Source organism: Homo sapiens, chromosome 16 (assembly GCF_000001405.40).
Source record: "Homo sapiens chromosome 16, GRCh38.p14 Primary Assembly".
NCBI classification, from domain to species: domain Eukaryota; kingdom Metazoa; phylum Chordata; class Mammalia; order Primates; family Hominidae; genus Homo; species Homo sapiens.
Window position 1 is genome coordinate 25,140,267 of NC_000016.10, and position 25,207 is coordinate 25,165,473.

The window sequence follows — 25,207 nt, forward strand, 5'->3', positions numbered from 1 at the left end:
AAGAACAAAAGCCAGCGAGAATTCAGATCCAGCTCTCAAGAGATGGCAGATCTGAATGCCAGAGACTTCACTTTAGGGTGTTGCCTTCCGTTCACTGCCCCCCACCAACTTTTTTTTTGCCCTGGCACTCATTCCAGCATGTTCTACAGTCTGCAAAATGCAATATACATTTCCTTATTACAGATCACAGGCTCTATGGCTCCCCATGTAATTACAATTAACACGAGGCCAACCAAATCTCCCAGACAAGGTTTTTGTTTTTGGGGCTTGTACTCAAGTACTAGGGAGACAGCAGAGGCACAAGGACTGTCTTGTTGGCTCCCTGAAGAGGCTTGCAGAGATGTTTTTATTAGCGAAACTTGGGAATTGACATCATGAGTAAGGTATGCAGGCTGGGCTGGGCAAAGCACATGAGAGGTAGGAGATGCGGGTCAGCGTATCTGGTTGCGCTGGTTCTCTTGGTTAATGGGCCACTTGGTGGTCTGGCTGGCGGCAAGAAGACTGTCAATCAGTTGTTCAGTGTTCCTTCCTGAGGTGGGATACTCCATAACCTTGGTTTCATAGTTAGATTTCCTAAGGCCAGTTCCTAGAACTTTAAGTAGAAGGCATGGTTAAGTATTATGAAGAAGCAACCCCATTCCATTTCTGTTCTATCTCTATTTCCCCCTGAGAGATTTCACCCTCTATTCTTAAGGAGAAAGGGCTGAAGATCTCATCTTCTGAAGCGACTTCCTGCTGAACAGGGATGTCGTCCCTGCCTAACTTTAGGGGGTGGGGAAATCTCTCACTGGCTGTCCTAAAGACCTGTAGGGACTGGGGTGCTCCTGGGATGTTATGGGTTGGAATTCTTGGGCCATCATTAGCTTGACTTGGAGCTATTGAAACCTGAAAGACACAAACTTTACCAAAAGGTTAAAAACACAATACGCCAAAAGTAATAGCAATTAAATGACCACTTAGGGTCCGAAGAAAGGTAAAAACCATGTCATACTTTGTAGGTATCCACTGATGGAGCCCCAGATGGTTTGAGCAGTAGAGTCATTACGATTATGTAGCCAGGTAGCCTCTTGGTGAATCTTTACTTTTATTTTCTTTTGGAGACAGGGTCTCACTCTGTCATCCAGGTAGGAGTGCAGTGGTGCCATCATGGCTTACTGCAGCCTCAACCTTCTGGGCTCAGGCAATCCTCCCACCTCAGCCTCCTGAGTAGCTGGGAATAAAGGCACATGCCACCAAGGCCACCTAATTTTTTTTTCTTTTTTTGTAATTTTGTAGAGATGGGGTTTAGCCATGTTGCCCAGGCTGGTCTCAAACTCTTAGGCTCAAACGATCCACCCACCTTGGCCTCCCAAAGTGCTGGGATTACAGGCATGAACCATTGTGCCTGGTCTTGGTAAATCTTTTGAACTTGCAGTTTAGCCAATCCTGAACTGTTAATGTAAGAACAACAGATGTGGTTTATTACTGTGCATACCCGCCCTTGTTCAGCCAGAAGATATTCCAGGGCAAATCTGTTATCCAAGACAGCATTGGCTAGGGAGTGCAGGGAGGCTTGATGTCCTTTTATGGCTCTGCCTGTACTAGTTGCCAGTGTTTCAAGGGTTTGAAAGTTTCTCAAAGCTGTCTGACAGTATGCAAAGCCATCCCAAGGGGCTATTCCAACTCCTGCCAAAATTAGCCCTATTGCCTTTTTAGATTTCACCACATGTGTGATATTATGAACTGTTATTCTACTGGGACTTAAAGTACCTAACATGCATTCCTTATTGCGTTGTACATTATCCACACAAGGGCACGCTAGTGCAAGTAACAGAGAGGTGAAATTGGCTGAAGGGTAGCTGTTGATCAGATGGCAGTCTGGGTGTCCACAAAGGAACAGAATACCCCATGGGTGCACAAACTTACACAAGGCGAGAGGAGTTCAGGTGAGCAGCTAAGCTGTGGAGAGAGGTATGACTGTTTTGGCATGGGGGAAAAGATAGCCTTCCTGAGCCCAAGTTTGATTAGGGTTTTTCTTTACTGCTAAGAGAAAACCCGGTGGGATTTCAAAGTAGGCAGTCCAACTTCTCTTTTTTCCACCCTTTTTGGTGACCAAAGCATTTAGCAGCCCAATGAGGTTTATACATTCAAAGGAAAGGGAGACACTTAGGTCCACCATAAGAGGTGCAGAGGTTATTTTAGGTTTCCATACCTCTTTTGTGAAGTTGGTAGTTGAGCTTTTAGGGAGTGCAAGAGGCAGCCCCTCTGAGCCTGGGGATGATGGTAGCACACCCAGCAGTTGGACAAATTATTACCTGAAGCTATAATGCCGGAAAGGTTGTCAAGAGAGTTTGTTTCTCATTTTAGTAGGCCTAGCCTACCCTGTGCCCTGATGGGGAGGAGTAGGAACAAAGTAAAGAGTAGCATCTTTATACCCAGCAGGGACAAACGAAGTCTTTACCTGAGGGAGGAGGCTGAGCAAAGCAACAGAATAATAGTAAACCAATTAGTAATACAAGGAAAAGTATTGGACTCAAGATCTCTAACCACATTACTTCTCCGATGATGAATTGGCTCTCCTGAATTTGAGGTCTTCCACAGGTTTTCAGGAGTAAAATGGGCCATCTGGGCGAGTCTGGAAACATTTAGGAGAAAGCATTTCTGATCGGGAGAGGTGTACCCAGCTAGTGATTCCTTGTGAGTTGGCTGCAGTTGGAGTGGTCAGGATCACCCAGTAAGGGCCCTCCCATTTAAGCAAGGGGTGGTCCTCCGGGGAGCCTGCCCTTCAAGCCTTTAGGAGGACTTGGTCCCCTGGATTAACTTGTAAAGGGGTTTTCCCATCCTTAGTGGGGACTGGCAGGATTTTGTTTCCATATTCTGAAGTCACCTTTTGAATCTGTCCTAAATCGATACTGTAATTTTTTATGTAATTCTTCACCTAACAGGAGGTCAGTGGTGAGGAAAGGCCTCTGGTAGATCATCTGAGAAGAACTAAGTCTTAGGCTGCACGAAGGGGCCCTGCGGACCCTGAGAAGACTGGGAGCATCTTAACCCAGGACTCGTGCGTCTCCTGAAAGAGTTTGGCTAGAGTCGTCTCAAGTGTATGGTTCATCTTAACTTTCCCTGATGATTGGGGTGCCAGTTCATAATCTATTCCTAAGGTTGTGGAGAGGCTCTGAGTAATCTTACCCATGAAGGAGAGCCTGTTACCACTCTGAGGGGACTTGGGGAGTCCAAATTGAGAAATTACTTCCTTTAGTGAAGGTTTACAGACTTCTACTGCTTTTTCTGTACAGGTAGGGAAACCCTTGACCCGTCCAGTAAAAGTATCCACAAACACCAGGAGATATTTGTACCCTAGATTTGGAGTCATTTGGGTTAAAACAACCTGCCAGTCTTCTCCCAGATAAGTTCCCCTGTGTTGAACCAGTTTAAGTCAAGAAGGGGGAATTGGATGGGTGTGGGGATTATTTCGGGAACACAATTCACTGACAAAGGTTACTTGTTTTACACTTTTTCTTAGTTTCTTTCTGGTGAATATTTTATGGACAGAATTCCATAAAACATGTCTCCATTAATGAGTGGCATCATGGAGATGCTTAGTAACTTTCAACTGGTCAGTTCCTGGAATAAAACTTGTCACCATCTGTGAACCATCCAGCACTGTTTTCCTGGTACCCCTGCCCCTTAGCTTCCTCTTGCTCTTGTTGTGAGTATTGTAGGTGATTAGGAAGGTTGGTAGGGTCTGTCATTAAGGCCAACACATTGCTGGATTCCTATAACCAGGTTGCCTGTTTTGTGGCCCTATTTCCTTGGCTGATGAGGGACCAGTCCCTCTGGTGGCCTTTGCAGTGAATGACTGCCACCTGGCAGGGAAGTTGTGCCGCTTCCAGGAGAAGTTGGATTGGATCCTTACGTTTGCCTGGGGAATTTTTAACTGTTAACATTCCCTTTTCCTTCCATATGGCTGCATGGGCACACAGCAGGAGAAACCTATACTTTGAGTTGGTGTATAAATTTACTCCCTCCCTTTCTCCCAGTTGTGAGGCTCTGTTAAGGCCTCTAGTGCTGCTTTTTGTGCCATTTTGGGGAGGAAGGGCTTTAGTTTCTGTAGTCTCCTTCAGGCTTACTACTGCATGTCCTGCCTTTTGGGTCTCCCTCCACAAAGCTACTGCCATCAGGATATCATTCCGTCTTTGCATTCTCAAGAGGCTTATCTCACAAGCTAGGCCTGCTGGAGTCTGTTTTGTGGGCCCTGTGCATTGATGCTGTGAGTCCTCATCATCTGTGGTTGGGAGTGAGGTTGCTGTGTTCAAAGTCTGACATACCCTTAAAGTAATATCCAGGGTGTCTAATAAGAGAGCTTGGTAGTTGGTCAGCCTCCCTGCAGTGAGCCAATGGTGTCCCTTGACTTCTAACCCAGTCTGAACCTGGTGGGGAGTCATAGCTTCTGTATATTGTCCCTGTGTCAGCTTAGATGCTTCACTAAACAGCAGGGCAGTGGCTGCCACTGCCCTCCAGCAGCCAGGCCGCTTCTGTGCAACTGGATTTGTCTGTTTCGAAAAATGAGCCACTGGCTTCTGAACAGGTCCTAACCTTTGAGTTAAGACTCCCAAAGCTATTCCTAGTCTCTCACAAACATACAAGGTAAGTGGTTTTTCTCAGGGAGTCCAAGGACAAGGGCTTGACCCAGCTCAGTTTTTAGAGGTTCAAAAGATTGTTGACATTTCTTCTCCCAGTACAAGGGCTCTCTTTCTTCCCCCTTTTGGGTCTCACATAGGGGTTTAGCCGTCAGGCCATAATTTGGAATCCAAATACTACAGAAGCCCACCATTCCCAAGAAACCCTGGGGCTGCCTTTTTGTTTGTGGGACCAGCAATGAAGTGATTGCTTTTTCCAGTCCACAACTAGTGTTCGGGCTCCTGGGGTCAGAATGAACCCCAGATATCGGAACTTCTGTAAAGAAATCTGGGCCTTGGATGGGGCTGACCTTGTATCACCGCTCAGCCAGGAAATTCAAGGTTTTAATGATATTAAAATCTGAATCCTGCCATGTTTGGCTGACAATGAACAAGTCATCCACATATTGTAATAAAAGTCCCATTCTGTAGGCTTAGCTCCCTGCATTCCCAAAAAGGTGGGGGCCTTCCCAGAAGCCCTGGGGAAGCACAGTCCATGTGTACTATGTGGCTTTCTGGGTATCAGAGATTTCTCCATTCAAAGCAAAAAGATACAGGGATTCTGGGTGGAGAGGGCTACACAAAAGAAAGCATCCTTGAAGTGTAGTAGAGTGAAAAACTGAGCATCTCCAGGTATCTGAGCACAGACAAGCTTGGGACCAGTGTTGGGTGGATGGGAATGACTGCCTCATTAACCCCCTTCAAGTCCTACACAAACTGATATTCTCCATTAGGCTTTTTAACAGGGAGGACCGAGGTGTTGCCTGGGGACTGGCAGGGTTTAGCCCTTGCTATAGGAATTTGTGGAGTAATGGCTGAACCCCATTCAGTGCCACAGGTTTTAGGAGGTATGATTTCCTCCATGGATAGCCCATCCCAGGCTTCAGGTCTGTCTTTACTGGCGGAACTTTATTAGCCTGTCCTAGGACTGAAGTGTCCGATAGGGAAGGGGTGATGTGATCCTTGCTTTCTTTGGGTATGTTTTGGGTCTCAAGTTCCTGTCCATTTAAGAGTGCTAGCAGGTGGATTCCCTGTTCTGGCTCTGCCTCTACCTGCAGTCTGTCCTCTTCCAGGGAGATGGTGGCTCCCATTTTGCTTAATAAGTCTCTACCCAGCAATGGAGTAGGACATTCCGGGGGGCATACAGAAATGAGGAGAAAAAAGCCTAGACATGGCCTCACAAGCAAGAGGGAAAGTAAATTTTCTTACCTTAGGACACCTGTCTATTCCCATTACCCTGCAATTGCAATTGGAGAGGAGGCAAATAGGCTGGGTCAGGACCGAGCAGGCAGCTCTGCTGTCCACGAGGAACTGTTTTCCTACCTGCCACATCAAGGGTGACCTGAGGCTCCGTGGTGTGATGACGATGGAGTGTGCTGCAGTCAGAGCCAGGGTGCTGTCAGGCGGTGTGTATCAATCTCATCTGAAAGCTTGGTGAGGAGTGGCGGCTGGCCAGGGTTGCCTGCCGGCTGTCCTGTTTTAAGGAGGTCAGGGCAGCCTCTCTTCCAGTGACCCCCTCCATCCTGCAGTAGGCACATTGGCTCCATCCAAGGTTGGCTGTCTTCGATTAGTTGGTCTCCTGAGAATCCTAGGGTCACCCTGAGATGGTGGATGAATTAGGGCAGCCAGAAGCTGTGCTGTCTTGGTCAGTCTCCTCTTCTTACCTGCCATCTGTGTCCTGTCCGTTATTGAAAACCTTAAAAGCCGCCTCTGCCAAAGTCAACAGCAGGGTCTGGGGTCTGGCCTCCAAATTTTCTGTAATTTCCTTCTAATGTCCGGAGCTGACTGAAGGATAAAATGCATGGCACGCGATGCTTCCCCTCTGCTGCCTCTGGGTCTGCATGGGTGCATTTCCCAAGGGCCTCAGGGACTCGATTGAGGAAGACTACTGGGATCTCCTTCTTTCTCTGGGTAATTTTCTTGACCCTGTCATAGTGTACAGGTTTTACTATACATTTCCTTCTTCCTTCAGTCAGGCAGGTGACAAAGTGGCTCATTCTAGCTTTTTCTAGGTTTTCTCCATAGTCTCACTCACGTGGAGACTATGCCTGGGACCGCATCTCCCCCTAAACAGATGACTGCATATTGGTCTTTAGTGACCACCTGGCTATTGGCATATTCCTTAGCCTTTCCAAATATGTGTTGCTTTTCATCAGTACTGCAAAGTGACCATAACATCCTGCCACGTCAATGAAAAGGCAAGATTTAGTTTAACAAATTCATCTCTAAACTTACCAGGATCCTCTGAAAATCTACCAAAGTGTTTTTTACATAGTCCTAGATCCACCACCAAAAAAAGGAACTTGGATCCTTGTCACTCCCCCGTTTCCATCCATTTCTCTGAGGGGAAAACAGCCCTGGGCCAGTGGGGAAGCAAAAGAGGGTGCCTGTTTGGAGTCCGATTGGAGCGCTGTTGGGGACAGCACAGGGGCTCCCCTCCCCAGGAGGCCTGCTTAGGGTAGGGAGGGAGTGCTCGGGGCCTGAGGCTGTGGAGGTCCGCTTCTTCAGGTTCCTTCAGGAGGAACCTGGAAATAGGGGCCACACACACCTGACAAGAATCCAGTAGCTCTGGGTCCTAGCATAACTTCATAAAAGCTTGTAGCTAGGTATCTCTCCCCATTTCTCTGTCCATTCACAGAATAGGTCGGGCGGTAAGATAGTGTTAAAACTAGGAGATCCACTTCTGCCCATGGCCATTTTTCTTGATCTAATGTGTACTAGGGCAGGTTGTATTACAGAGGAAAATCAGTTTCTTTTTTTTTAATTAAAAAAAAAATTTGATTTTGAGGCAGGGTCTCACTCCATTGCCCAGGTTGGAGTGCTATGGTATTACCACAACTCACTGCAGCCTCAACCTCCTGGACTTAAGCGATCCTCACTTTAGCCTTCTGAGTAGCTGAGACCCCAGGAAGGCACCCCCACACCCGGCTCATTTTTCCTGTTTTTTGTAGAGGTGGAGTCTTCCTATGTTTCCCAGGCTGGAGTTTCTTTTTCTTTAAACCATCTGATTTGGATTCCTTCCATTTAGAAATGATACATCCCAGGTGTGAGTCTTGGAAGATGCCTGGGGCATTGCCCATGACTGTAGCCCCTGTGTCTGCTTGTCTTATTAAAGGACCAGGGGCAGGGTGCAAGCACAGGTGTCAGGCGACGAAAAGAGAGTTGGCTCCCAGCCCCACACAGCACAACAGTACAGGTCACACAAGAGGGCCGGCGTGAGCAGTGAAGAGAACTCCCCAAAACCGAGTGCCAGCTTGGATGGTTTCTTTTTCTTCTTCAGCCTTACAGCAGGTCCAGGTTCTACTGACCAGTGTCCTGCATTTGGTAGTAACCGAATGACAGTCAATAAGATGTTGAATTAAACATACAAAAAGGAAAAACAGATCAGGGCATGAGCTAGGCAAACTCCAGCCCCATGTGCCGTCAATTCTCCCCGCATAAAGGCAGCACCCAGAGTCCGTAGGCTCAAACACTGAACAGACAGAGAAAAGCTCACAGGCTTCCCTTCCCAACAGGTGTGGCAAAGGGAGGGAAAGCACTGAAAGACTTGAAGATTGTCAACTATTGGGTCTGAAGCCAGGGCACCCAGTAGTTCCTTCCAGCCGTGTCAGTCCGTCCTGCACGGGTGTCTGTTCAGTTCGAGCCAATGAAGTTAAAAGTGAAGGAAGGAAAGCAGAAAGGAAGAAGGAAAAAGACAACAAATAGGGGACGCGAGGGAAGGGAAAACATTGTCTGGGGCAGGAGTGGTGAGGAGTCTTGCAGAGACCAGAGGAAAACTTACCAGTCGCGAGACTAGAGGAAAACTCGCCAGTCGCGGTGGCAGCGCTGAATCAGTGGGGCCTCCCTCCGGCTCGCAGGCTCACAAGCCTCCCCTGCAGGGAGGGAAATTACTCCTTGTGCTCCTACCTGGCTCACCAGATAATCTGTTATGGCACCAAGCAGATTTTCCAGACAAGGCTTTTAGTTGGGGGCTTGTGCTTGAGCGCACGGGGAGACGGCAGAGACTCTGCGGCTGGCTCTCTGGAAGAGCCGGGAGAGACGTTTTATTAGCAAAGCCTGGTAACTGACATCGGGAGAGGGCATGTAGGCTGAGCTGGGCAAAGCATGTGAGGGGTAGGGAATGCGGGTCAGCATATCTAGTGGCTGATGGTTATCTTGGTTAATGGACCACCTGGTGGGCTGGCCAGAGGCAACAAGGCTGTAATCAAGCTTGTTCAACCCCAGGCCTGCGGGCGGGGCGACATGCAGCCCAGGACTGCTTTGAATGTGGCCCAACACAAATTCGTAACATTTCTTAAAACATGAGATTCTTTTGTGACTTATTTTTTTTAAAGCTCATCAGCTATTGTTAGTGTATTTTGTGTGGCCCAAGACAGTTCTTCAGTGTGGTCCAGGGAAGCCAAAAGATTGGACACCCCTGCTGTAAATCAGTTGTTCAGTGTTCCTTCCTGGGATGAGACACTCCACCACCTTGGTTTGATATTTAGATTTCCTAAGGCTAGTTCCTGGGATTCTTTAAGTAGAAGGTCTGGTTAAACATGAAGAAGGAGCCGTATCCCATTCCTGTTCTTTTTCATTATGACTCTCCATCCATTAATGTAGTTGCCTGGAACATTTAAAAAGTGACCCCATATTTTCATAATCTGAATTTTTATGTCTTTTGTTTACTACTTTATTCCGAGGGCATGTAGAAAGTTACCTGGCCTTGCCCAGGCACAGTGGCTTATGCCTGTAATCCCAGCACTTTGGAAGGCCAAGGCTGGTGGATTGCTTGAGCCCAGGAGTTCGAGACCAGCCCAGGCAACATGGTGAAACCTCGTCTCTACTAAAAATACAAAAATTAGCTAGGCATGTTGGGTGCATCTATAGTCTCAGCTACTTGGGAGGCTGAGATAGAAGGATCACTTGAGCCCAGGAGGTCGAGGCTGCAGTGAGCTATGATCACACCACTGCAGTCCAGCCTGGGTGACAGAGCAAGACTGTCTCAAAAAAAAAAAAAAAAAAAAAAAGTAGGTTACCTGGTCCAGAATAGATGTGCAGTAAGTGGGTTTTTGTGTATATGAATGAATGAATGGAAGACTGAAGTTAGTTATTATAGATGACATATTATGGGGGCCATTCCGAGTCTAGTATCAAGGAGTTTACAGAGTTGCAGATGACAGGTTTGCTAATGTGTGCTGAGAGCTTTCATAGCCTAGTACCATGTTAAGTGCTTCACTTGGATTGTTTTCATTCAGTCCTTACAGCACACTCATGAATTAAGTGCTGCTGTTATCCCCTTTTTGCAGATAAGGAAACTGAGGCTTAAAGAAGTTAATTTGCCCAAAGTCTTTTATCTAGGAAAGGGTGGAGCTGAGATTCAAACTGTGACTTCAAGCTCAAGATCAAGGCATCTTCATAGTTTTCTGGTTTTTTTTTTTTTTTTTTTTTTTTTTTTGAGACGGAGTTTTGCTCTTGTTGCCCAGGCTGGAGTGCAATGGCACGATCTCAGCTCACCGCAACCTCCGCCTCCTAGGTGCAAGCGATTCTCCTGCCTCAGCCTCCCAAGTAGCTGGGATTCCAGACATGTGCCACCATGCCTGGCTAATTTTGTATTTTTAGTAGAGACGGGTTTTCTCCATTTTGGTCGGGCTGGTCTTGAACTCCCGACCTCAGGTGATCTGCCTGCCTTGGCCTCTCAAAGTGCTGGGATTACAGGCGTGAGCCACTGTGCCTGGCCCGCATCTTAATAGTTTTAACTACAGTCCCTCCCCATCCCCCCTTTTAAATTAGTCATTTAAATAAAACCCTAATTCTTATATTGAAAAAAATGTGAGTAAACATTAAGTGTTTCAGCTGTCCTTTAGAAAAGTCTGATCCTTATAAAGTGGAAATAATTTTCAAGCTTTATTTTTTCTAGATCCATGAAAATAATGGATCACCCTTTCCTGATATATTTAATTTTATATTAAATATGCTTTTTAAGTGATAAATGGCAATTCTGATGCTCTGGGAACTGCAAAGTACTGGCTGGTTAGAACTCTGAGTGGAATAAGAGTAACTGGCTCTAGGTTAAGTCCAGAGATGGTTTCCGGGGACAGAAAGTGTGTTGGTGTTTGATTATGGTTGTTGGGATATTGACGCGTGTCTGATTTCTGATTTTTTGCCTATTCTGGATTGGGGTAGTTCCCACATAAATGTTACTGAACTTCAAGTTTGTGTAAGAGTCAATTCTTCTGGCTACCTGTTACAAATAACAAGTATCTTTAAAAGTTTGATTGAGAATAGGCAGCAAACTAGAGATGGCCCAAAAAAACATTGGAACATTTGAAAAATTCTTGTTAGGTTATCTTTAGCTATTTCTAAGTCTAAATACTTCATGATCAGTTTGTGATTTGGACATCAAATGCTGAGTGTAATGCTTAGCCAATGTCACCTGAGACCTGTGTCCACTGAAGTTTTACCGTATGTGCTTAGGGTCAAAAGTAATTAAACTGAAGCCCTTTTTAGAGGGGCCCCTGCTTTGAACAATAGCAAATATATATTTGCCATTTTGGTAGTGAGTGTCTGCATTTGTGCAGTAAATGAGCTCATGAGTAAATTGAGGAGCAAATAGACTCATTTTTCTCCTCTTTCCCATCTTCCCATAGATGCAAGCCTCCCCTATCCAGCCCCATTCTAGAACTGCATTCAGAGGACACACTTCAGATGGGCAAGTATCAAGCTAATGCAAAATGGACTGTATCAGTATTTTTGCTTCCCACCCCCTTTTTGAAGATGGGGTTTGTGTTGGGTGTGTGTGTGTGTGTGTGTGTGTGTGGTGTTATACAATGTATTGTCAACTGAAGAATGACGAGGTTCATAAATTAGGAAAGGAGAGCTTGCTTTCTCAGACAGGGTTGAGCCTGCAGGGTGGCCATTCTAACAGGCTGGGAAGCACAGCCTCCTGCTAGAAGTCAACAACAGACACTTTGAAGGAGGGGCAAAAGGAGGAGGAATTTATGCTCAGCCAGGTGGGTGAACATACATATTTAATAAGCTATAGGAGTCATCATGAATATTTATGAAGGGCGAACTGTGTATGTGTGCAGTTGAGCTTCACATCCCATCATAGGTCCCATGTATAAAAAAATGGCAGTGTTAGCATGATCCAAGGGTGGAGGTTTTGGCCCTCTGACATCAAAAGGTGAAGCAGAGGACACAAAAACCCACATCTTTCGGAGACTGGCCAGAACCACTCCCTGTTCTGTGGTCTCATCAGGAAGGAATGCTGGTTGACCATTTCAAAGTGGCCAAAGAGAGGGGCAGCAGTCAGGCAGTTGGGTTGGATGACAGCAGCAGTAGTCTTTTGAAAGGGCTGGTTGCTGTTTAGCCCTTAGGGAAGAACGCCTACAGGCAGTTAGTGAGCAAGGGTTTTGAGAAGGCATCTGACCTCCCATCCTGACGTGGCCAAGAACTCAGTTTTCAAGGTCACTCTGGGGTCCCCTTGGTTCAGGTGGCTGGGGAGCTTAGAATTTTATTTTTAGTCTATAGTAGACTTTTGCCGATACATTTAAACTTGGGGTTACCATGAAGGAATTTTCAACGACTTTCTAAATGAGTCTTTTTAGATGTCCTTAGGTCTCTAATCTTCAGTCATTCTGTAAAGACCTTGAGTTAGTTGCCAACATTTCAAAAATAGACTTCTCATGAAAAATCTCGATTTCTAGCTTTTCTTGGAAAAAACTAGAAGACGTGGTAACATTAGGCCATGTAATATTACCACGATTTCTACATGGGAACAATTAAATAGTGGCTGCCTCAGTTAGAGGAGTTGCCCATCCTCCAGTTCTGTCCCCACGACTCTCTGGTATCTTACACTTGATCTGCTTCACTCAATTCTGCTACCTGTTTGGCCCTGGCAGTCAATTTTCTCCGTTTTTTCCCTCAACTTTTAATTATGACTGTGTCTTAACAATGCTTTTCTCATTTCTGAGCCTTTCAAATTATGGGTCAGTCTCTACCACAGTCTTCCTTTGTTTTCAGTTTTTGTCTGAGAGAAGTTAAAGGGGTTTATTAGTAATTCAGGTCAGAGATCGTGCAGAGAGGACAGCCTTCACCAGTAGTCAGCACAGGTAACACCGTGGGCATCAGGTGACTAGATGAGCCAGGTTTATTACAACAAGCAGGGACATGAGAGGAGGGAAAGTGTTCTCTGAGGCGGGGGTGGCAAGGAGTCTAGGCTTTTTCTAGCCCACTCCTCCAGATTCTTCCAACCTCTACCCATTACCCAGTTCCAAATCTGCTTCCACATTTTCAGGTACTTAACAGCCACAGCCCTTCTTCTCAGCTTCTCAGTACCAGTTTTCTGGTTTAGCTTGTTTTGTGCTTCTATAACAGAATACCTGGGACTGGGTACTTTATAAAAAGAACAGAGACTTAGTACAGTTCTGGAAGCTGAGAAGTTTGAGGTTGAGGGGCCCACATCTGGCAAGGGCCTTCTTGCCGTGTCATCCCATGGAGGAAGGTAGAAAGGCAAGAGAGCATGACTGTGTGAGAGAGAGGTGAAGGGGTGCAGACTCAGAACACACTCCCAATCCCAATCCCAATCCCAAGCAAGTGGCATTAATTCATTCATTGGGACTGAATCACCTCTTAAAGGTCCTACCTTTCAACACTGTTGCATGGGGGATTAAATTTCCAACACAACGAACTTCGGAGGGACACATTCAAACCATAACACCCTAACACTGGGTATATTGTGATTTAAAAAATTTTCTACCAGTCTGGCCAGGTGTGGTGGCTCACGCCTGTAATCCCAGCATTTTGGGAGGCCGAGGCGGGTGGATCACCTGAGGTCAGGGGTTCGAGACCAGCCTGGCCAACATGATGAAACCCCGTCTCTACTAAAAATACAAAAATTAGCTGGGTGTGGTGGCTGGCGCCTGTAATCCCAGCTATTTGGGAAGCTAAGGCAGGAGACTCTCTTGAACCTGGGAGGCGGAGGTTGCAGTGAGCCGAGATCATGCCGCTGCACTCCAGACTGAGTGACAGCATGAGATGAGAGTCTATCCAAAAGAAAAAATTTCTACCAGTCTGGTAGGCCAAAATGATGCCCTATTATTTTTATTTTATTTTATTTTTTGAGATGGAGTCTCCCTCTGTCACCCAGGCTGGAGTGTGGTGGCTCAATCTCTGCTCACTGCAACCTCTGCCTCCTGGGTTCAAGCGATTCTCCTGCCTCAGTCTCCCAAACAGCTGGAATTACAGGCACGCGCCACCACGCCTGGCTAATTTTTTTTTGTATTTTTAGTAGAGACAGGGTTTCAGCATGTTGGTCAGGCTGGTCTCGAACTGCTAACCTCGTGATCCTCTGCCTCGGCCTCCCAAAGTGCTGGGATTACAGGCGTGAGCCACTGGGCCTGGCTGATGCCCTATTATTTAAAAAAAATTATGTAACTTTGAATGCTAGTGAGATGGAGCATCTTTCCTTCGTTTTATTGGACTTTGGGACCTCTTGTAAATTTTTTTATTTCCTTTTTCCATTAGTTTGTAGTTTCTTTCCTTTTCAGTTTATAGGAACGCTTCATAACACATGGATGTGTTCTTTTTTTTTTTTTTTTTTTGAGAGTCTTGCTCTGTCACCCAGGCTGGAGTGCAGTGGCGCGATCTCAGCTCACTGCAAGCTCCGCCTCCTGGGTTCATGCCATTCTCCTGCCTCAGCCTCCCAAGTAGCTGGGACTACAGGTGCCCGCCACCACGCCCGGCTAATTTTTTTTGTATTTTTAGTAGAGACGGGGTTTCACTGTGTTAGCCAGGATGGTCTCGATCTCCTGACCTCGTGATCCACCGGCCTCGGCCTCCCAAAGTGCGGGATTATAGGTGTGAGCCACTGCACCCGGCCAGATGTGTTCTTTGATAAAGGTCTGTTGTCAACTTTTTTTTATTGAACTTTTTTCTCATTCTTTTACTTATCTTTTAACTTTGTGTCTCATCGGTGAATTTTTTACTCTGGTTCTTTATAGTTTTTGATTGTGCTGAGAAAGGAGAATTTGAATAAAAATGAAATAAAAATGTGAATGAAAATTTGGGCGAACTGATACGTGATCTTAAAACTGACAAAAAATATTTGTTTAAAAATGACCTTGTTTTATCAAACCTACAAGGCTGTTGACAGTGAGAATCACCATTATTTCTTTATCAGTAAGAAAGAAAAAGTGCCGACACTTAAGCTGACACATCACCAACTGTTAGATGCATCCTGATTTCAGGAATGTTAAAATGTGAAAGGATGCATCTTAGAATTGATGATGTTTTTTTTTAAGCTAAAGTCTGCCTAGGGTAAAAAATCAAAAGTGTACAAATGGGCACACAATGAAAAGTCAGAAGGTGTTTTTAAAAAGGAAGGCCGGGTGTGGTGTCTCACACCTGTAATCCCAGTGCTTCACAAGGCTGAGGTGGGAGCATTGCTGAGGGCACCTAGTGAGACCCTGTCACAAAAACATAAAAAAAAAACTAGCTGGGCATGGTGGTGCACGCCTATAGTCCTAGCTACTTGGGAGGCTGAGACAGGAGGATACCTTTAGCCCAGGAGTTGTAGGCTACAGAGAGCTGTGATTGCACCACAGCACTTCATTCTGGGTGACAGAGCATGACCCTTTCTCTCAAAAGAGTGAAAAAGGGAAATTGGGTTCTGTTACCTCCTTGCTTAAAACTCCCTATCGGATAGGACCCATGTTGTTCATTAGGCCTCTGCGTGCCTCCTGATTTTACTTTCTTTTCTTTCTTTCTTTCTTTTTTTTTTTTTTTGAGACAAGGTCTCACTCTGTTGTTGCTCAGGCTGGAGGACAGTGGTGCAATTGGTCACAGCTCACTGCAGCCTTGAACTCCTGGGCTCCAGTGATCCTCCTGCCACAGTCTCCCGAGTAGCTGGGACTACAGCTGTGTGCTGCCACACACAGATGATTTTAAATTTTTTGGGGAGAGACAGGGTCTCGCTATGTTGCTCAGGTTGGTCTCAAACTCCTGGGGTCAAACAATCCTCCCGCCTCGACCTCTCAGTGTTGGGATTAAGGGCGTGAGCCCCCGCACCTGCTCCTGATTTTCCCTTTGACCACAGTAACTATGATCTAGCCACACAGATATCTTACTGTTCTCTGACTGTGCCAAGAATGTTCTTCCCCTCAGTCCTTTTCATTTCCTCTCTCCTCTTTGCTTGATGGGCTCCTTCTCATCTGCTCAGCTGCCGCTTCCTCAGAGGGGCCCTCCCTGACTACGAGGTTAAAGACAGACCCCCTTCCTGCCGCCTTATGTCACACTCTTCTCTTTCAGTTTCCTCATGGTACTGACTGCTCCTTGATATATTCTTGATTACTCATTTATTTAATGATTCACTTTCTCCCTCTTCTGCCATGTAAGCTTCCTGAGAACAGGGACTGCTTCTGTCTTGTTTACCACTGTAATCTCTGCACCAAGAGCAGTGCCTAGTGCACAGACAGTGTTGAATGAATACTCACGTGACTGCTTGAATGGATGAATGTGTTTGTGTTTTTGTAATCCGCTTCAACTCTGGTGAAATTAGGCAGAAAGAGAAAAGAACAGCAAGTGAAAGCACTTCAGAATGTGAACAGGATTTCAGTTGGGCCGTGAGGAGGAGACCCTACTACCTAGGGAACAGATGATCTCAGCCAGGGCACACTGAAGGAAGAGCTGGGAAGGCCAGTGTGGCTGGGGCTCGGGTGGCAGGAGGTGCGTGCTTCAAGATTGAGAAAGATCATAAAGCCGGCTGAGAATTTTGGACTCCATTCTAAAGGGAGTCAGAAGCCTGTTTCACATGCCCCACAATACCCTGAACTTCTCTGTAGAACTTACCACACTTGCCCTTGTTCTCTCTCTTTCCCACTGGATTTTAAGCCCCATGAGGGCAGGGACCATGTCTTCTTGTTCATCAGTTATTCCCAGGACTTGGCTCAGTGCCCCATGAGTGTCAGTTGGGTGGTCAGACAAACTAATCCTCTGTACAGTCCGGAAATCTGCCTGAGGCTGTCTCCATTTTACCTTTTTTTTTTTTTTTTTTTTAATTGAAGGATCCTAGGAAAATCTGTGAACCTAAAAGGTCACTTTGCAATGCTTATCAACAATGATAATTAGTTTGTCATAGAAGATACCATGAATGGGATTGATGGGGTTCACTACAGATCCAACACATCTCTCGAAATGCACCTGGCGGTGATGGAAGAGATTATTAGTCATATGATACACCAGCACTTGTGTGTGTGTGTGTGTGTGTATGTGTTTAACTACTGTGTTACATTGTGTAAGTCTTCAGTTTTCTCATGCCTTTTCACCTCATGACCTAATCACCTCTTAAAAGTGTTTAAGACTGGCTTGGTGGCTCACACCTATAATCCCATTACTCTGGGAGGCAGAGGCAGGAGGATCCCTTGAGCCCAAGAGTTCAAGACCAGCCTGGGCAACATAAGGAGACCCGCCCACCCCCCATCTATACAAATAATAAAAAAAATTAGCCAGGCATGGTGGTGCACGTCTGTGGTCCCAGCTACACAGGAAGCTGAGGCAGCCTGGGGGGTCGAGGCTGTAATGAGCCATGATCGTGCCACCGCACTGCAACCTGGGTGATACAATGCAACGCTGTCTCAAAAAAAACCAGCAACAACAATAAAAAAAAAACTGATTAGGACGATAAAGTATATAAACTTAATGAGGCAGATAATTAAAGCTTGTATCCATTAGCTTCTGCGCTGTAACAAACTGCTGCAAAGCATGTGGCTTAAAACAACAACCATCTATTTAGCTCACAATTCTTTGGGTTGGGTTCATTCAGGTGGAACTTCTCAGCTGGGCTCATTCCAGCACCTGCCTGGATTTAATCACTTGTGGTCATCTTCACAGAAGACCTCTGCTGTGTAGCAGGCATTGGGCTAGGCCAGGGGGTCCCCACCTTTCTTGCTTCCCAGTAATTTGTCTCAGTAATGTTTTCATAGTACCCCTGAGCCAAAAAACACACTCAGCAGTTCTTTTTAATTAGTTGGGTTTAAACAGCTGAAGTATTTATGTCCTAACAACTTATTAGTCATTTGAAAAAAAAGTACACATAAAATGAAATAAAAATACCATTTTTACTTCATTCTTAAACACCCAGAATTGCTTCCTGAGATGCGTGCCCTGTAGGGCACTTTACAGCTTCACCTTGGAATCAGATTGGACACCACCCCTGTGTTCCACATCCACATTGGCACAATACTTGCTTTTTTCTTTTTTTGAGACAGAGTCTTGCTCTGATTTGTCACCCAGGCTGGAGTGCAGTGGCACACTCTCAGCTCATTGCAACCTCCGCCTCCTGGGTTCAAGCAATTCCCATGCCTCAGCCTCTCAAGTAGCTGGCATTACAGGTGTGCACCACCACGCCTGGCTAATTTTGTATTTTTAGTAGAGATTCTGGCCAGGCTGGTCTCGAACTGGCCTTCAGCAATTCGCCTGTCTTGGCCTCCCAAAGTGCTGGGATTCCAGGCATAAGCCACTGCGCCCGGCCGGTCTGTTTCTTTAGAAAGTTCTGTAAGTATCACACAAAATGATTTCAGTTGCCTTACATTTTTCTCTCACGAAATAGAATGTAGGAAAAGAAGGGATTGTAGATCTCATTTTGGCAACCAAGTTATCTTTCCCACCAGCTCTCAGAAGCATTCCAGACAGATAAGGATTTTTCTGTTCTCATGGCCTCTTGCCAGTGCTAGATTTTATACAAATGGCTTTATTTTCCCAGAATTATAAAACTCCTTCGAAACTTGCTCTGAGCCTGTCCTCCACAAATACATTCAGTTCCCTACAAAATAATGATAAAGCATCCTTCAAGGACAGATAATGGACCTGTTATTTCCCTACAGCTTGAGTAGCCCCTGACTTAAGAAGAGCAACTGAATCATGGGATGCTGGTGTGAGTTACTCAAGTCATCAAATTCTATCATTCAAAGGGATCTCAAGGTCGTCTTGTCCAGTGCTTCCCATGTGGTATACCAGTATGCCACCACATACGGCTGGGCCACTGCAGAGTGGCGGGTGAGCCTCAAGTCACTGACTCCCTTCAGCTCAGATGTACCTTGTGTACAACTTACAAGAATAATCATGATGATGTGTGATTTTTGCTTTACATGCTAATGTTAGATCCTAATGTGAGTAAGAGAGATCTCCCCTGAACTACATGGTACTAGACTTCATGTGTTAATATTCTGGTGTATTATTTGTTGTTGTTTGGCCAGGGATGGAAAAACTCATTCCAAATGTGCTTATTATTAATATATTTGTTATTTGCAAGAAGTTACACAGGCATTTTGGAATTATTTTCCTAATAGGGTAGGCAACTACCTTCGTATTCTTTTATTTTGTAGAGACAAGGTCTTTGCTCTGTTGCCCAGGCTGGAGTGCAGAGGCACGATCATAGCTCACTGCAGCCTTGAGCTCCTGGGCTCAAGCCATCACACCTCAGCCTCCGGAGTAGCTGGGACTACAGGCATATGCCACCACACCTAGCTAATTTTTTAAATTTTTTTGTACAGACAGTCTTGCTGTGTTGCCCAGGGTGGTCTTGAACTCCTCATTCAAGCCATCCTCCTGCTTGGGCCTCCCAAGTTGTTGGGATTATAGGCGTGAGCCACCGCACCCAGATACATGCCATATTCTTTATATTACTTTCCTGACTCGTGACACCCTGGGGCCAACTTTGGGTTCCCTGCTTGCCCTTTATTGCTTTCCTGACATCTAGCAGGCTCTTAGGAGGTGTTTCTTTAGCTTATGGTGTGTAGCCATATGTATTTGAATCAGCCAAGTGGAGTTATCAAGATGATAAATGAGAACCTATTTACATGTTATAGGTTAGCCTTTTCAGCTTTTTTGCTGAAGTTCTCAGAGCCAAGAGAACCTGAATTATTAGCAGTAGTATGGGTAGCTGTTGATGTTTCAGCTCCTGCAATGGTTTGTACCCTCAAGGAAGTTGAGTGAATAATGTCTGGAAGTTGAGTGAATAATAAAATCAAGCAATTTTCTTTCTTTAAAAAAAAATTTGTTAACTTTTTTTTTTTTTAACTGAGATGGAGCCTCACTCTGTCGCCCAGGCTGGAGTGCAGTGGCATGATCTCGGCTCACTGCAACCTCCGCTTCCCAGGTTCAAGCCTCGAGAGTAGCTGGGATTACAGGCATGCGCCACCACACCCAGCTAATTTTTGTATTTTTAGTAGAGACGGAGTTTTACCATGTTGGCCAGGATGGTCTCGATCTCCTGACCTTGTGATCCACCCATCTTGGCCTCCCAAAGTGTTGGGATTACAGGCGTGAGCCACCGTGCCCAGCCAATAGAAATGTAAATTTCTGCTAGTGAAAGATGTAGTGAATGAGAAATTTGGGGTGGAGCCTATCAATCTGGTTTAGCACGCCACCCAGTTGATTCTGATGACCACTGAAGCCTGAGAATAATCACTATAGATAACCATTTCATCCCACCTCTGCTGGAGTCTTTCAAAGCAAATGCTGTCATTTTATTTGTAAATACATTAGTACATAAACTGTCTTTTTTAAAACATAACACAAATTGGCGTAACATTTAGAGAGCAGCCTGCTAATGGGTCCCCATATTTAAATAGGCTTACCCTCTGATCTCTTAATTCCACTCATACTATCTACTTTAAAGAAATAACTGGACAGATGCTTCATGATGTCTATACAAGGGTGCTTAAATGCCTAGATGGGGAAAACTTAGAAATACCATGTCTCATAGTGAGGGATTGGCTAAATAAGTTATGTTTTATCCAGTCAATGGAATGCTATGAAATCATTATACAGAAGGATGTCCCTGATGCTGTTGTTACGTAGGAAAAGCAGTTTTCAAACCACATATTGGGTGGTCCCATTTTCTTTTCTCTATTCAGGATGTGTGTATGTGTGTGCGCACCATGTGCATGAGAGGGGATGTGTTTTTGTTGTGTATAATAACTTAAGCACATAGGACAAAAGGCTGAAATGTTACACACCAAAACACGAATAGTTATCTTTGGAAGATAGGATTTTGGTTAATTTTTACCCTCCTCTTACGTATTTTTTTTTTTTAACAATGATGCATGTATTTTTATAGTAAGGAAAAACCATAAGGCTACTATAACTTTGGAAAAGACATATTCATTAAAATTATAGCCTCTGATTGCATTTGCAGATGGACACATACTGGATTCAAAGAGATATGCCGTTATTGGAGCAGATCTCCGAGACCTGTCTGAACTGGAAGAGAAGCTAAAGAAATGTAACATGAATACACAGTGAGATTTTTTTTTTTAAACCTCTTCTGCATTTGTGATTTTATGCTAATTATGAGATAAGGCCAGTCGGAAGTACAGCATGATATTCATGTTCCATTTTTTATTCTTTAAGAGTTTTATCATTTCATTGCTACCTAGTTTTCTGAAAAAAATTCTTTTTTTTTTTTTTGAGGTGGAGTTTTGCTCTTGTTGCCCAGGCTGAGTGCAATGGCACAATCTCAGCTCACTGCAACCTCCACTTCCCAGGTTCAAGTGATTCTCCTGCCCTCAGCCTCTTGAGTAGCTGGGATTACAGGCATGCGCCACCATGCCTGGCTAAGTTTGTATTTTTAGTAGAGATGGGGTTTCTCCATGTAGTCAGGCTGGTCTCAAACTCCCGACCTCAGGTGATCCGCCTGCCTTGGCCTCCCAAAGTGCTGGGTAGTTTTCTGAAATTTTTAAAGCAATACTGTTCAAGTCTGTTTCTACATCAGAATCACCTGTGTTACTTTGTAAAAATACTAGTGCCTAATTTCATATAAAAGTTTGAGAGAAGATAATTTATGGATAGAAACATATTTGTAACATATAAAGAAAAGATTAGCATCCAGAATATATAAAGAACAGCTACTATTAAAAAAAAAAACCTCAGAAAAATGGGCAAAATATAGATTACCAGGCAGCTCAAAGAAGAAACTGAATATCATATGAAACAGGTATTGGGCATCAGTGATAATCAGATGAAATTCTATTTTACTGTCACCAAGTTGGCAAAAATGTAACAGCTGACAATATCAAGTGTTGACAAGGATGTGGGGGATAGGGAATGATAATGCCACTGCTGGCATTATCACAGTACAACTACTGTGAGGAGCAATCTGAAAGTATCTAGTAACATTGTAAGTATGTGTACCATACATAGCAGTTCCACTTTCGTGGGTGTCTCCTTGAGAAGATCTTGCATATATGCATAAGGAGGATGTTCATTGTAGTTCATGAGTCTGGGAACCGAGTCCAGCTGCACAGGTTTGAATCCTGACAGGAATATGCACTAGACCATGACTTTGGATAACTTACTTCACTTCTCTGCATCTGTTTCCTCTTCGGAAAAATGTGAGTTATAGGCTGGGCGTGGTGCCTCATGCCTGTAATCTCAGCACTTTGGGAGGCCGAGGTGGGCAGATCACCTGAGGTCAGGAGTTCGAGACCAGCCTGGCCAGCATATTGAAGCCCCATCTCTACTAAAAATACAAAAAATCAGCTGGGCGTGGTGGTGGGCGCCTGTACCCCAGCTACTCAGGAGGCTGAGGCAGGAGAATCACTTGAACCCAGGAGGCAGAGGTTGCAGTGAGCCAAGATCATGACATCGAACTGTAGCCTGGACAACAGAGCAAGACTCCATCTCAAAAAAAAAAAAAAAGAAAAGAAAAGAAAAAGAAAAATGTGAAAATGTGAATACTAATAGAACCCACCTGTAAGTGTTAGCAGTTGAAGATGCTGAAATCTCTGAGAAATGCTATTCATTTCTGTAGTTTTAATTGTTGCTGATGATTTTGATGGTTCCTCGAAGAGAAGATAAAAATAATTCCTAATCCCAATACCTAGAGATAACCACCTTAAAAGATTTTATCCCAAAATTTGTAAATATATGTTTTTCTTTAAAATGTGATTATGCTATGCGTATAATTTTGGAACTTTTTGTTTGGAGACAAGGTCTTACTCTGTCACCCAGGCTGGAGTGCAGTGGCGTGATCTGTGCTTACTGCAGCATGAATCTCCCAGGCTCAAGTGATCCTCCCACCTCAGCTTCCTGAGTAGCTGGGACCACAGCAGTGCACCACCACACCCATTTAATTTTTGTAGAGACAAGGTTTCACCATATTGCCCAGGCTTGTTTTGAACTCGTGAGCCCAAGCGATCTAACTGCCTTCGCCTCCCAAAGTGTTGGAATTAACAGGCGTGAGCCATTGCACCCAGCCAGTTTTGGAACTTTTAAAAGAATCGGTTGGGCACGGTGGCTCACGCCTGTAATCCCAGCACTTTGGGAGGCCAAGATGGGCGGATCACGAGGTCAAGAGATTGAGACCAGCCTGGCCAACATGGGGAAACCCCGTCTCTACTACAAATACAAAAATTAGGTGGGTCCGTGGTGGTGTGTGCCTATAGTCCCAGCTACTCGGGAGGCCAAGGCAGGGGAACTGCTTGAACCCAGGAGGCGGAAGTTGCAGTGAGCTGAGATCGTGCCACTCCACTCCAGCCTGGTGACAGAATGAGACTCTGTCTCAAAAAAAAAAAAAAAAAAAGAATCTAATATATATGTGTATATGTACACATACAATCATTCATTTGTCTATTCACTCATTTAGCAAATAATCGAGATTCTGTCAAGTACAGGTACTCACTATGAACAAAACAGCTTACACATTATCGTGTAAGGAAAAGAAATATAAAATAGCTAATGACATTCGATTGTTTCATTACTCTTGGGGTATCTGCTTTGAAGAAGTGCCGGGAAGCATCTGATAGGCCACTTGAATCTGGGGACCATGGATAGCTTTTGTGTCAATAAATACAGTCCCTGAAACATCATACTTATGAGCTGCATAGCAGTTCATTGGGTAGGGCATACCATGTTCTTTTCAACCAGTTTCTTGTTGGGCTTAGCTGGGTGTTCTGCAGTTTGGGCTGGGCTTAGCTGGATGTTCTTCTGCAGTTTGGGTTGGCCTTACTTAGCTGGAGGTTCTTCTGCAGTTTGGACAGGGCTTAGCTGGATGGTTCTGCTTGTGGTTGGGTTTAGCTGATATTCTGGAGTTCAGTCAGGTGGACAGTGGGCAGGCCAGCTAGGGTCTGGCTGGCTGTCAGTTGGGATGCCTTCTTCTCTTCCACAGGTCTTCTCCCCCTATAGCAGGCTAGCTTGGGTTCCTTCACACAGTGGTTTCAGTTTTCCAAGTGCAGCAAGAGAGCAAGCACCAATGTGCAAGTGACTTTAAAGCTTCTGCTTGCATCATGTTTGCTACTGTCCTGTTGACCAAAGCAAAAGTTTCATGACCAGCCTAGATTCCAGGGGTAGAAGAATAAACACCTCTCAAATGGGGGAAGCTGCATTGTTATGTTGGCGTGGTGTGAGTGCACAGCAGGGGAGAACTTGAAACCATTTTTACAATCCACCACACATGCTCAACATGTTTTCATTGCCACACAAATCATTTCTCACTGCTCACCTTTTCACAGTAGAAAGCTCGGATTGTGACGGTATTCCACATGTATTCCTGTCCTGACTGGGGCTGTGCTTGCTCAGGCCTTCTGAGTTCCCTGGGGCATGGACCGCCCCACCAATACTGCAACATGTGTACAATTAGAGGGTCCTGACTTGATGATAACAAATTTATGTGCCTTTTTTTCCTTATCTTTAAGATTGCCAACACTCCTGATAGCTGAATGTGTGCTGGTTTACATGACTCCAGAGCAGTCCGCAAACCTCCTGAAGTGGGCAGCCAACAGTTTTGAGAGAGCCATGTTCATAAACTACGAACAGGTAAAAGGAAGCACAGGAGAACTGGATTCCATACAGGATCGCCGTGGTGGCTTCCCTCTCCCAGCACCCTTAGGATAACTTCCCTTATCCTTTTCCTTCTGCCTCCAGCCTCTCACATATCTCCTTTATTCACCAACCAGCAATCTTAGTACTCCTGACCTCTTGACCTCCTGCAGACTTTTAGCCAGTTATTAGAACTTCTGTCTTAGCCTTTACAAAAGATTTTCAAGTTCTTATTTTTATCATTACATGTACCATGGAGTCATAGAACATGAGGAAGAGGATTTTGGCTACCAGCATTTTGGGGTAGCAACTCAGATGCTGTCAGGGACAGGCAGGTGGGGTCAGTGGAGGAAGTCAGCCAGGTGTAATAGTGTAGGGTTTGGGGACTGGTGAAACGGAGCACCCACGTCCCATCTCACAGGAGTGGCCACTGCCCATTTACAGCCAGTTGTTATCATGTAGGCATGTGAGCCTAGAGCTGCCAGAACTCCTGATTTTTGAAAGAAGTTGGAAATGCAGGATTTTAATGTAAAATATTCTAATTTCTAAAATTACCATGTATGATTTACCAGCTGCCTGTTTACTTCTTCTGATTTATTGCAGAAAAAGTTCTGCTTTAGAGCTTTGGAATAGCTTGGGTTGAATCCTGGCCCTGGCTTGTGCTCTCAGCTATGTGAACTTAGGCAGCACAGCTTAGTGATTGGGAGTCCATTCTCTGGAGTTGGGCGTTCCTGCTGTGTGACCTGGGCAAG

At 45.0% G+C, this 25,207-nt stretch overlaps 1 protein-coding gene and 1 long non-coding RNA gene across 7 annotated transcripts in view; one reads left to right on the top strand and one right to left on the bottom strand.

The window, feature by feature from the left end:
* Positions 1–25,207, top strand: part of LCMT1 (leucine carboxyl methyltransferase 1) — a 66,487-nt gene that overhangs the window by 28,525 nt on the left and 12,755 nt on the right. For 4 of the 6 annotated variants that reach the window (XM_011545864.2, NM_016309.3, XM_047434197.1 and 1 more), the window contains 3 exons: positions 11,288–11,349; positions 20,836–20,938; positions 24,332–24,452. In XM_011545864.2, the coding sequence (XP_011544166.1) occupies positions 11,288–11,349; positions 20,836–20,938; positions 24,332–24,452 (286 nt within the window). The remainder of the gene's footprint in view (positions 1–11,287; positions 11,350–20,835; positions 20,939–24,331; positions 24,453–25,207) is intronic. The other 2 variants (XM_011545862.3, NM_001032391.2) reach the window with 1 other exon arrangement.
* On the bottom strand, positions 305–8,766 carry LCMT1-AS2 (LCMT1 antisense RNA 2). The gene is made up of 3 exons (NR_039998.1): positions 8,440–8,766; positions 5,982–7,973; positions 305–592 (listed from the first exon to the last, which is right to left on the bottom strand). It is a non-coding gene; the product is annotated as an LCMT1 antisense RNA 2 (long non-coding RNA).